At 44.4% G+C, this 13,065-nt stretch overlaps 1 protein-coding gene across 11 annotated transcripts in view, besides 3 other annotated features; it reads left to right on the forward strand.

Moving 5' to 3' along the window:
* The window catches only part of C4orf51 (chromosome 4 open reading frame 51), a 112,298-nt gene that overhangs the window by 51,747 nt on the left and 47,486 nt on the right, over nucleotides 1-13,065 (forward strand). For 10 of the 11 annotated variants that reach the window (XM_047416079.1, XM_047416083.1, XM_047416086.1 and 7 more), the window contains exon 6: nucleotides 561-727. In XM_047416079.1, the coding sequence (XP_047272035.1) occupies nucleotides 561-668 (108 nt within the window). In that variant the 3' untranslated portion in view covers nucleotides 669-727. Of the gene's footprint in view, nucleotides 1-560; nucleotides 906-13,065 lie in introns of those variants that run through there. The other variant, NM_001080531.3, reaches the window with a different exon arrangement.
* Nucleotides 950-1,549: a silencer, noted in NCBI's record as "silent region_15733". NCBI's record gives its function as "represses an Ori minimal core promoter by ATAC-STARR-seq in GM12878 lymphoblastoid cells {active_cell/tissue: GM12878}" and the evidence as "EXISTENCE:reporter gene assay evidence [ECO:0000049][PMID:35858748]".
* Nucleotides 2,105-2,904: an enhancer, noted in NCBI's record as "H3K27ac-H3K4me1 hESC enhancer chr4:146655149-146655948 (GRCh37/hg19 assembly coordinates)". NCBI's record gives its function as "activates a minimal SCP1, AML or CMV promoter by ChIP-STARR-seq in primed H9 embryonic stem cells {active_cell/tissue: H9 hESC(primed)}" and the evidence as "EXISTENCE:reporter gene assay evidence [ECO:0000049][PMID:30033119]".
* Nucleotides 2,905-3,702: an enhancer, noted in NCBI's record as "H3K27ac-H3K4me1 hESC enhancer chr4:146655949-146656746 (GRCh37/hg19 assembly coordinates)". NCBI's record gives its function as "activates a minimal SCP1, AML or CMV promoter by ChIP-STARR-seq in naive H9 embryonic stem cells {active_cell/tissue: H9 hESC(naive)}" and the evidence as "EXISTENCE:reporter gene assay evidence [ECO:0000049][PMID:30033119]".

A 13,065-nucleotide genomic window follows, 5' to 3' on the forward strand; every position in this document is an offset into this window, starting at 1 on the left:
AATCTTAATATTTTTAAATATATATAGTTTGGAGGAGAACAAGCACTGAGATATATAAATGCCCAATTTCCTGCATCAAAGCAATAAGTAGAGATTGAATGAAATTTTCAACGATCATTAACACTATTCTTAGTTTCGAAAGTATTTGCTTGCTGGGTAGTGCTTTTGGTAATCATTCTCTAAATATTTATATTCCTGTGTCCTATCTTGAAGAAGTTCCTGATGGAAACTGGAAAGCAGAGCATTCACATCCAGGAATGTGGGAACTAAAGGAATTAGGGAAACCTGGAAAGAATCTTACCAGAGAAGCAGTGGGGGCCGGTTAGGGATTGCAAGAGTTCCTGCCCTTTTTCTCTCCCACTTTATTAATCTGGCCTTCCTAACAGAGACACAATATATTAAACAGGAAGGTTAAGAGAGATGGAAGAAAATGCAGGATCAATCCCATCTCCTGCTCATGAATGATGTCTGGTTTGGAAGAGACCATTTAATTCCCAATTCTGTGGAAAAGTGACCTTTGCGGATGAGCGAGTGTTGACAACCAGGCCATTTTTCTCCAGCTTCATGGACGGTGCGATTCTGAAAGCAAGGTTTGCTCATCTGAGGATTCAGAAGCTGATCGATACTCCGATTATGGCTGGGGAGGACCCTCATCGCCATTTAACTGAGTTGGAAAATGAAGCCACAAGGCTGGAGGCGTGGAGTTTGCTTAATAAACAACTTTGAGGTATGGGGCCCTCCCAACACCCTCCCCCCACCCGCCCCGCCCAGGAACGTCTGGACCCTGGCAGGTTGGCTTTCTGGGACAATTCCATGGGCTTCATTTATCAGTTTTTTCCCTTTTTAATTGGTGGAGAGAGACAAAAGTTTTTATAATCTTTATTAAATTTTCCTTTTTAAATAAATACTTGGGACCACATTTCTCTGCTAGAACCACAGAAATGGTGCTGCGGCCCCGACCGTCGGGGGCTCCGGCGTCACAGAGCCTGTCCCTTGTATCTGGGAGCCCCGGGGAAGGCGCAGGGGCGTGAGAAATGCTCTTTGTATTCAGAGCGGTCACCCAGCAGAGCCGGAGCCTTCCACCGCCAGGTTTTCCTCCGCGCAAGGCGCCGCCGGGAAGCGAATTGGCTCCGACAGTCGCGGGGGCGGGGGCGGCCTCAGACGCGGCGGGCTCGCGAGCTCAGGGGCGGAGTCGTGGCCCTCCCGTCCCGGCTCCCTCGGTAGGCTGCCTGCGCCCCCAAAGCCGCGCCCACGGCCCGCCCACCCGCCGCCTGCCCCTCCCCTCCCCGGTCCGCCTCTTCCCGCTCCTCCCGGCCCGCCGGAGCGGCCGTCTCCTTCTTCCTCCACGGCCCACCTCTTCTCCCCCACGATCTTCCTCCCCTAGCGTCCACAGGCCGCCTCCGCCGCCTACGACCCTCCTCCTGCTGATTCCCCCCCACCACCGCCCGCCTCGTCGCCCCCGCGGAGCGCGCGGGAGGGAGGGACCGGGAGCGGCAGGGGCTGCACATGACCTGGGGCGCGGGAAGGAGCCCGCTGCCGTCTAGGCCCGCGAAGGGCCCCGGCAGCCGCCGACTTCTGAGGAAAAGCAGAACGGTGTTTGGTTTACTAAAGTAGCCGCCTCCTACCACTCTTCCTCCCCAGCCCCGCTCTCTGCTCCCCACACCCCCTTCCGTTTACTCCTAGTTACCAAGACCGTCCTTCTCTTAGGATTTCTGTTGAATAGAAAATACAATTAAAAGTCGCAGCACCACCCCTGCCTCCCGCCCCACAAACTCCTAGTGATTATTTTTGTCTCTTAGCCCTAGGTCGGGTTAAATACATTCCCCGGGAGCCATCTGGTCTGATTCCCGGCAACCTTCGTATGGTTTCCATTAAGCTCTCCAAAAGCATGCATTGAAAAGGCAGCCCTGTAGCCACTTAGGAACCTCCGGAGTTTTGCCCTGGCCAGCCCCAGTAGACATCCCAGGCAGAAGGAGAGAAAGGCCTCTGTTTAGGTTCCGAGTCTAGTACCTCATGATCCTGGTTTTAATCTCGAATTTCTTGGCTTTTCCTAGTCCAAGAAAATACAGTTCTCCAAGGTAATGGCTATCATTAATTCATCATTTGTTTTTTACTATACGCAGAGGATAGCTGATTAGAATTCTGTTTTAATTCTAAAAATGAAGGCTAACAGCTTTACAGATAGGTTGCAACAGTAACCTGGCCACACAAGTTCAATTTGACCAGCAACATTGGTATGGTGGGGTCTACACCTTCTCGCCTGTCTGTCCACCATTCCTTAACCCCCAAAAGGCAAAGAACAAATATTTGCTTGTGGAAACATATTCCCTCACACGTGGGTTAGGGCTTGTGTCCAAGAAAAAGGGAACCGGCAGGTTCATAGACTCTGAGTGTTGTAACTAGAGTGTTCCTTAGGATTCATCCGAGATGTATATCCATTGATTGAGGACACTCAGAAAGTGGAGGGGCTTCGGGAAGGTCACGTGGCTGATGAGTACAGTACTGCGGCCTAATTTGGGGATGGGAGGGTGGGGAAGAGACCTGGGCATCAAGAGCTTTATCATATACAGCAAGGAAGATTGTGGTCAAACCAATTCATTAGTGGCACATCCTGAATCTCCCCAGTCCCTCAGCCGCAGTCCCATCTCTGTCCTGCTCTGTGCCTCCCTGTTTGCGGAGTTAGAGCCCTTTGCTGTTCCTCCTGTTTCCCCACTCCCGCCCTGACCGTGTGATTTTTATTTGGGTTTTAAAAATGAAACCAGGTGCTGCATAAAACAAAAGCAAAGTAATAACAAGGAAAGACTAGCCAACGCCTGAGGAATGTGCTGAGTTTTATGACTCAGGCTGTCCTGGCAAAGAGCTTGGACTGACAGCGAGAGGTGGGTGCCACGGAGCACAGACCATACATGGCAGCCCTGGCCTCCCCAGATAGGCATGGTCAAGGCAGCCTGTGACTCATTTCACAAAACCAGAGACTCTTGTTCTTTGTGGAGCAAGACTTCCCGGAGGCTAGAGCAGGATGATCGTCAACTTTTCTCCTTAGAGCCGGTTCAGTCTGATAAAGCAGGGGCCACCCCGGAGTTTGGAGGGGAAGAGAGCCCAGGCACAAGGCCATCCCTGGGAAAGAAACAGGCTTGATGCACTTGGGCGAGGGCTTTGGTGCAGTGAGGAGATGAATAACATGGAAGTTGCAACGTGACATGAAAATTAGCATGTATTGTAGTGGAGACAATGGCTTGAGAGTTCCAGGTCGGGGATTGCCACAGTGCCTTGGAGAAGGGGACTGTTGGAGTGCTCCTAAGCCTGGAGGAGGTGTTTGCTCCTCCTGAGTGCATGGAGCACAGGAAAAGATTGTCAGATGCCAGTAGGGTTTCCGAGGTGCCATTCCTCACGCAATCTGGAAGAGTAACTATGGGCAAAATAGTAGACTTTGCATAAACACCCAGAGAGCCACCCAGGCACACATCCTCACATTGTGAGAATTCTTTTCAAATGAGCATAGTAATGGGATGAGGTGTACATTTTTTTCTGTTACTAAGAGACAGACTGGGAGAGTGAGAATGCAAAGGAGAATGTCTCTCCTAGCAGAGGTGGTGGGAGGGGTTGGAATTTGGATGACAAGGATCTGTTTGTGCCGCCTTCATTACACAGGCCTGAGTGGAATGGGACTGATAGGGCTTCTTCTGGTTTCTGCTTCTGGTTTCTTCTTCCCAGAGAAGGCTGTCACTTTTTGAATGAGAATGAACTTTGGCTGGCATAAATGAGGTCTTCGTGCAGCAGCCCTATGGAACAGGGACTTGTTTTTCCTTATCTTCTTTCTCTTTTTCTTTTCCTTTCCATGGAATACCCATTGAAAAGCTATGGTGACTATTCCATAATTGCAGGCAAAGCTCTGCTTAACTTGTTCCTTAAAGTCTACTTACCTGGAAAAATAAAGTCTTTTAAGGACGATGACTTCATAAATATTTATAGTGGGAACAGGCATCACTCTGGTTCTGCGAGAGAATGGGCTCATTCAATTTTATTTATGATGTGACACTTGGGTGAGTGACATCCGTCATCTGGGTCAGCCCTACACTCTGTTCCAGTGAAGCATGTTTATGGAGTGATTATGCCTGCAAATATTTGCTATATTTAGGCCCTCTCCTCCCCTAACCCCCTCTTAGACTTATTAAGTCCCCAAACCAGCAAAAAGCCAAGCTATGGTCTGGAAGGTTTGAACCCTAATGACAAGGCACAGGGGCTTGAACACGTGCTGTAGAAGGATTTGACAAACTGGGAGGCAATTAGAGTGGGAACACTGTTATTATAGCATTCCTATATTCAGGAGGTTTTGCTGGTCCTGTGTCTAGCAGGTGAGCGCTCTCAGCTAGGCATGAGGAGTTTTGACAGGTGACGAGCACAGCCCTGAGTGACGAATGCAGAAGGATGCTTTTGAAACTCTTTCCTTCCCAGGGAGCTTTCTCTGGACAGGATTTCACAGGCCCTCAGATCTGTCACCATGCACCCTGGGGCTTTAGGGGCAGGACCTGATAGGGACTCTGTGACCTGAGCTGGGTCAAGGTCTGGGTGTAACCTGAGGCCTCCTCTCAGCCACACCTGGTCCATGGCTGGGCGCAACAGCTGCCGTCCATCAGCTGTGGAGCAGGGAGGGCCTTCTCTGGCTTCCTGGCTTTCGAGTGCACATGCCCTGACCTAGGCATTTCAGGCTGGACTTAGACATACTTCAGGACTCAATATTTGCTCTCCAATCGGCTTGGCCATCTATTGTTTATCCTGGGAAGGGCCAGGTCTTGGCACAGGAGCCTGAAGCGTTGCCAGTGTTTTATTTTTAGAGACAGGAAAATGTCTGCTTTTTGGCAGCTGCTCTTTTTCTGGCACACATCAGGGATGGTGTAAAAAAGTTCAAGTGAGAGATTCCAAGCCCTAAATTCACGGCCTATGACACAGGCAATAGCACCATGAGCCTCTCAATAGGCGCCTTTGGGGAACCTAGGATCTGTCATTAGAAGGCCTTCTGGGCAGAATAGTGGCCTCCCTGCCACACCCTGGCGGCGAGAGTCCTCTCTAGTTCATAAACCTCAGAGTCTGAACTTCTCGTGAGTCCCTTTTGAATGCATCAGCCGATCTGAACTATTATAGTTCTTACCTCCATTCATCTCCTTATCTACCAGTCCATAATCTGGTTCAACTTGGTAGGCAGAGTTAAAAAAAAAAAAAGTCTGCTAAATTTCATGTTCATCAACCCTTCTTAGACCCAATGACGTTGTCATCATAATGATTGTAGAAGACAGCCAGTGTACATGGCAAGAAATATCTTACTAGATTCAGGGATCACATTTCCAAGTTTTATTGGAATTAATATTTGTCTTAACATAGCCCTCTTAAAACATATTTTTGTAGGTCCTGTGATTCTAGCTGCTGACAATTTATAGGAAAGCATTTTGCAAACTATAGTGACATATTATGCAAAGGCAAAATGGAATATAAATAAAGAATTATTATCTTCTTTTCTCCCCAACCTTTGAAAAACGATTACTTTCTAATTACAAAAATAAAACATGAATAAGTTCTTCTTTACTGCTTATAGCCCATCATTACCTTTTGGATTCATTTTTCTTCCTGCTGGAGCACATCTTTGGTAGATTTTCTTTTGCTTTTCCTCCCTTCTCCATCAGAGTGGGTAATACATTTTTCTAAGGGCTTGTATGTCTGAGAAGATATTTTGCTCTCTCTCTCTGCATGTTAGCTTGGCTTGTTATAGAACTCTAAGTTCAAATTGATTTTTCCTGAGCATTTCTAAGCTATTCCATCATTTTCTTGAGACTGCTTTGGTTGATGAGCAGTATCCTTTTGATCTGACTCTCACTCCTTCGTAGATAATCCTCTGTATCCTCTTGTACCTTTTAGGATTGCCTTTTTCACCTCAATGCTCTGGAGTTTTGTTTTGATATCACTATGTATGAATTTATTTTTAAAGTTTATCCTGCTTGGTAATGATAGGCTCTTTCAATCTGAGTGTTCATGTTCTAAAATATGGGGTGGAAACCAGACAGGTTAAATTCATCTGTATAGTAAAATGCTGAGGAAGAAAGGAAAGAAACTGTGTGGCTTGAGTGTTGGGAGGAATTTTAAGGGGTTATAGAGAGAGCAAGAGAGTAAGGCTTGGAGAGATTCATTGTTAGTTGGTTCCTGCTGGAGCACATCCTTGATAGAGAAAAATGTGTAAAGAAGACTTTTTAAGCTCTTTGGATGCATATTAAAAATATACTCCCAGCAGGGCTCAGTGGCTCACGCCTGTAATCCCAGCACTTTGGGAGGCCTAGGCAGGTGGATTGCCTGAGGTCAGGAGTTCAAGACCAGCCTGACCAATATGGTGAAACCCCGTCTCTACTAAAAACACAAAAATTACCCAGGAGTGGTGGCAGGCACCTGGAATCCCAGCTATTCAGGAGGTTGAGGCAGGAGGATTGCTTGAACCTGGGAGGTGGAGGTTGCAGTGAGCTGAGATCGCACCACTGCACTCCAGCCTGGGCGACAGAGCGAGACTCTATCTCGAAAAAAAACATATATATATATATATATAGACACACACACACTCCCTTCTTTGGTGTTTTATGAAGAAACTAAGACCTAAGTTGGTGTTAATTATATTTTTTTTCTGTGGGACTGTTGTATCTGTGATTTGATACTAAACCACAAGACTGAACCATAAGACTACTTTAAATTAATATGAATTATATAATCAATTATTATTATTATTTTGAGATAGGGTCTTGCTCTGTCACTCAGGCTGGAGTGCAGTGGTATGATCTCAGCTCACTGCAACCTTTGTCTCCTGGGCTTAAGTGATGCTCCCACCTCAGCCTCCCGAGTAGCTGGAACCACAGGTGGGCACCACAACGCCCGACTAATTTTTTGTATTTTTGGTAGAGATGAGGTTTCACCATGTTGCCCAGGCTGGTCTCAAACTTCTGGGCTCAAGCAATCTGTCCACCTTGGCCTCCCAAAGTCCTGGGATTACTGGCATGAGCCACTGCACCTGGCCAGCAATTATTATTTTTTTAATGATTAGGCAAATAGCCTTCTTTCATTCTGTCCTTGTCCCTTCCCTTCCCTCACACTGTCCAGGCTACAGTTTCTTTTTACATAATGAAAGATTCTTTTACAGAATGAGATGGAGTTAGATGCTCTAAAGTCTTGCTGTTTCTCTACAACTCTCTTTCTCTTAGTCATTTGTCATCGACCTACCTAAACACTTTCTTTTATGGCTAATAGCTTATAAGAAGCATACACAAATACTTTGTCCACTCATTTAGTAATATAATTTCTCACCAGATGAGTTGTCATGTATAGATTATAGATTTGGTCAGAAAAGACTGTGCAGTGACCAAAGTTATAGCAATTTAGGACTCTTAGCTTGAGATCCAGAATGCGAAGCTCTGCTTACCTCCCCAGAAGTTTACTACTCCAGACTGAGGAATTCATCCCATAGATTGTCTTGGTCCACCCATAGAAGTTAATGTGTGGCACAGAGCGTCAAGATTTGGGAAAGGCTCAAACACAAACTGATATTCAACCAACAATAGCATCTCTGAACAAATGAAGGCAGGAGATACAAACAAAATCATATTATGACTTTTCACTCTCTTCTTGAAACATAATCATTGAATTGGCTTTTATTTTATCATGTGCATGTATTATCTTTTAGAAAGCACTAAAAACAATTGTTAAACTTTTAAAAGTATAAGGACAATAGAATAATTATTGAGAGTCCAAATTCTCCCAGGAGATTTGAATTATTTGAGAGCTTTTTCCTCTACTTCTAATATCCACACTAAAGTGTTTGATATGATGAGACAGTAAACATATGCAGCCTGTATAATCTGAATTACTCTCCTGACTAAAAGGTAGAGATAGAGTCGCTGAGGCCCAACACCCCTGACAACTATTGAGCTCCTAGTTGTTAGATGCTGCTACTCTCACTAGATTTTGAGATATGCATAGTCTCTGCCTGAGTATGTGGGGATGCAGTGTGACCTAGAGGAGGGAGATCTGGGAAAGGCTCAACGTGGAACTGGTATTCAACCAGCAATAGCATCTCTGAGCAAATGAAGGCAGAAGATGCAAACAAACGTTAAGTTCAGAGTCCGCTGACATTGGAAGCAAGCCAGGTGAAAACCGTTCACGTGGATCTTCAAGGGAGTCAGGCATTTCTTAGAGTTGCCATCAGCATTTCTTCTTTTCTGGAATGTAAAGTTTCCTTCACTTTGTATGTAACTAGGGCTCTATCTGTATCCAGAGAGGGTGAAATGCTTTCCAAATTATAGCTATCTCTCCCTTTCTGCAAAAAAAAAAAAAAAAAAAAAAAAAAAAAAAGACAAAAAATAAAAAAAAGTGACAATGTGAGGTTTTCAAAACTGCATTTTACAAAAGAACTATGCATTTACTTTATAATTTCAAATGCTATATTTTCCATTTTTGGTTAATCTGTAATTAATTGTGGCTCCTAACTCATCGGGTTTCCTACAGTCCCCTTCATCTTTTCTCCAACCTTTATGTTAAACAGTTAATGCTCTATACATTATATAAATACCCTTCTGAAATTCAGTGCCCAAGGAAAAACCCACTTTTAAAGAGAGGGATTCTGAATAATAACCACCCCTTGTTTTGAAAATACAGGTTTTCATAAAACAGCATTTGTAAAAGCAGGTCCACCTCTAGAGAACATGTGACAAGTATCTAGCAGATGTCATTACTGCAAAGTACTCCCCTCAAAACCCTTAAATTTTCACTTCTTCTGGATTTGCCGCTTTAATGGAAGAGCCCACCATGGCGACACATGCTCTGCCTCTCAAAGTGTGGTCTGCAAGGCTTTGCCAGATGGTCTCCTTCAGAGTAAATGCTTTCAATATGATAATGTTTATATTTGTGATTCTGGCATGAACTAATAATTTTCTCATGATAGTTAATAAAAAACAGATTATTTCATTTCTATCTCATAAAACCCAGTACCTTTCCTCCCATTCTATCTGATGAGGGTGATTTTTTTTCCCATTGGTGAGGTAGCAGTGAGTGTGGGGAGGATTATGGAGCTGCAGCTGTCTCCACGGCTGAAGTGGTGTCCAGCCTAGAATTTGAGATCCCCTCCTCCTCCTCACAAAGGTCAGGCTTGCAATGCATCAGAAAAGGATAGTTTGTCAGGGTAACAGAGACCAGGGCTCCAACATAAACAATCTCTTTGAAACTTCAAGGTTTACCTTTTAGCTGTAATATTCCGGAATTTGGTGGCTGAGTCTGGGGCTCTCTGGCCGTATCCATCATGTTTTCTTAGAGGCTGATCATATTCCCTTCTAATCCTTCATTTTTCCAGTCTAGAATACTTATTTTATAACTCTTGCCACAGCAGAGGGGTGAGGGGTAGGGCGACTTTTCATCCTTTGACCTTTTTTTATTTTAAAACTTTTTTGGACTCTTTGTATTTAGGAGACGAGGTACTAAATTTTATCTGTGTAGCCCTCTTTTCCTGTGGATATTTGGCTAACAGAAACTGGTCCTGGTGGGCAGCAATAGTAGGGATGGTATGAAGATGGATGGCCTACACTTCAAAGGGTGACTTGATAGAAAAAGATATGGAAAATTAGTTTGGAGTGTGGCTGGAGATTATAATGCCACTAGTTTACTCTTCTTCAAAGGAATGTGAAGTAGGGAGTGGGAAAAGGTTAGATTTCCCTGAGAGAGAAGGAAAGCTTTGGGGTCTTTTGGCGAGAGCTAGGATGCATTAACTTTCTTTTTTTCTTTTCTTTTCTTTTTTATTTTTTTAAAGACAGAGTCTCACTCTGTCGCCCAGGCTGGCGTGCAGTGGCTCGATCTCAGCTCACTGCAACCTCTGCCTCCCAGGCTCAAGTGATTCTCCTGCCTAGCCTCCTGAGTAGCTGGGATTACAGGCGCCTGCCACCATGCCCAACTAATTTTTGTTGTTGTTGTTAGTAGAGACTGGGTTTCACCATGTTGGCCAGGGTGGTCTCAAACTCCTGACTTCAAGTGATCCGCCTGCCTCGGCCTCCCAAAGTGCTGAGATTACAGACATGAGCCACCATGCCTGGCTGCATTAACTTTATTTCTTTCAGTACTAAACTCAATACAAGGGTAGACTTTTCTCTTTGTTGCCAGCATCTCACCATCTACTCATTCTGTAACCTACTGGAATTTAGCTTCCACTTCTAACCTGTCATTGAATCTGCATCCTTAAAGATCACCAATGGCCATCAAATTGATACAGGCTATGAGATTCAGCCTCACTCTACTCATCCTTCTGTATGATTTCACATAAAAGTCTCTCTACCGTTGGGTTCTCTAGCAATGTTGTGCTTGTCTCTGGCTTCTCTGTTTCTTCTCATTCTCATGTGTTGACAACTCCTCCTCTTTCTTCTCCTCCATTAAAGCCATCTCCTAAGGTTCTGTCATTGGTGCCTTTGTTTTTGCTGTTGTTGCTGCTGCTGCTGTTTCTTCCATGGTGTTACCACCCTCTCCACTGTCTTCAAATGTCATCTTTGCTCCAACAAGTCTCATCATGAACTTTCTTCTGAGCTTTGGAATACATTTTCAGTTTTCTACACGACAGCATTTTCTTTTTCTTGTTTTTTTTTTTTTTTTTTTTTTTTTGAGACAGAGTCTTGCTCTGTCGCCCAGGCTGGAGTGCAGTGGCACGATCTCAGCTCACTGCAACCTCCACTTCCCGGGTTCAAGCAATTCTCCTGCCTCAGCCTCCTGAGTAGCTGAGATTACAGGCGCCCGCCACCACGCCCAGCTAATTTTTTTGTATTTTTAGTAGAGACGGGGTTTCACCATGTTGGTTAGGCTGGTCTCAAACCCCTGACCTCATGATCTACCCGCCTCGGCCTCCCAAAGTGCTGGGATTGTAGGCGTGAGCCACCACGCCCAGCCAGAGCATTTTCTTCTAGACAGGAAACTATTGTGATCCACCTGGTGAGGATGCTAAGAATCTGCACAAGGATGTTAAGAGTGGAAAAGACAGGAGAGAGTCATAAAAATATTTGGCAGATAAAATAAACAGAGCTCTTTGATGGATTAACTATCCAAAGAGCAAGAGGAAGAAAAAGAAGTAGGAGAGCTAGAAGGGGACAAAGCTGACCCCAAGTTTTATAGGTTAGGTAAGTTGGAGGATAGGTGTGCCCTTACTGGAGTAAGAAATACATGGTAAGGGTCAGATTTAAGGGAGAAGATGATGACTTCAGTTTAGGACATTTGGAACATACCTCATCTCTGTCTTTTTTGCCTTTTGAGTCTTCCCTTCTGTCTTAGTCTGTTTTGTGTTGCTGTAACAAAATACCCGAGACTATATCATTTATAATAAACAGAAACTTATTTGGCTCATGGTTCTAAAGGTGGGAAAGTCTAAGATCAAGGGGCCAGCATCTTGTGAAGGCTTTCTTGCTGCATCATCCCATGGCAGAAGGTGGGAGGGCAAGAGAACACATGAGAGACAGAAGGGGAAGCGGGCTTAACTCATCTTTTTATGAAGATCCTGCTCCTGAGATAACAAAGCCATGCCTGTGATAACGGCATTAATCCATTTCTGAGGGCAAAGACCACATGAGCTAATCACCTCTTCAAGGTACTGTCTCTCAACACAGCTACATTAGGGATTAAGTTTTCAACACATGAACTTTGGGAGATTCAAACCATAGGACTTTCTTAGTGCTGCTAGAATTATCTTCCTAAAATGCAGATCTAATTCATGCCATTCGCCTCAAAATTTTTTGTTAGCTCTTACTAACTACAGAGTAGTTTAGGCATTCAGTCTCCTTGACAGGGATTTGAAGCCCTACACAAGCTGTCTTTGTTTGGTTTCATTGTAATCTTCTAGCACAACAGAATCCACCAAGCAATTTCTCACCTTCTTGCCTTTGCTCAAGCTGTTCTCTCAATCTGGAATGCCCTCCCCAATTTTTCTGTGTATGGAAATCCCACTCATTCTTTAGATTGCAGCTTGCATGCTACATCCTCCATAATGCCTCCTCCCACCACAGTTAGAATCTGTCATTCTTTATTCAATATTTTCACAGCAATTTATGTGTATTTTTCCTTGTATTATAATGCATATGCTCAAACACGCATTTCTTCTATTGGTTAGTAAACTCCTTAAAGCTGGGAAATGTATCTTATTTATTTCCATTCCTTATCAGCTGCCAACACACGATTTTCCATATATTTGTTGCTCATTAAATAATAAATGAAAAAGAGAGGGAGACATTGATCATGGTTAGCGTGGAGGGGGAATCTTGGGGGGAGAAATGGTTGGTAAGGTAGGCTGGGACTTGCTTTAGAATATGTTCAACTGGGATGGAAACTTTGGGCTCTGAAGAAAAGGGATAGGGAATAATGATGAGGGTGGCAATGGATTATGGGTAATGTGAAGGGCTTATATTTAAACAAAGGATCCTGTGATACAAAATCATTCGTGTACACATTTAGCTTCTTATCCACAGGCAGATAAACCAAATTGTTAAGTCCTTCGGCAGGAAATTATTACTCTGCCCATTTAATTGTAACCCCAACTCTTGAATATTTCACTATTGCTGCTACTATGTCTATTGTCTGATGCCATAAAGAGATGGGACCTTGGCTGGGCGCGGTGGCTCACACCTCTAATCCCAGCACTTTGGGAGGCCAAGGCGGGTGGATCACGAGGTCAGGAGATCGAGACCATCCTGGCTAACACGGTAAAACCCCGTCTCTACAAAAAATTAGCAATTCTACAAAAAAAAATTAGTAATTCTACAAAAAATTAGCCAGGTGTAGTGGCAGGCGCCTGTATTCCCAGCTACTCGGGAGGCTGAGGCAAGAGAATGGCGTGAACCCAGTGGGCGGAGCTTGCAGTGAGCCAAGATAGCGCCACTGTACTCCAGCCTGGGCAACAGATTGAAACTCTGTCTCAAAAAAAAAAAAGAGAGATGGGACCTTGACGAATAGTATGGTGATGATCTATGGTGATAATCTATTGCTATGCCCATTTATTTAATTGTAGAAAAGGTGAGCAAG

This window comes from Homo sapiens, chromosome 4 (genome assembly GCF_000001405.40).
Source record: "Homo sapiens chromosome 4, GRCh38.p14 Primary Assembly".
In the NCBI taxonomy this organism is placed as follows: domain Eukaryota; kingdom Metazoa; phylum Chordata; class Mammalia; order Primates; family Hominidae; genus Homo; species Homo sapiens.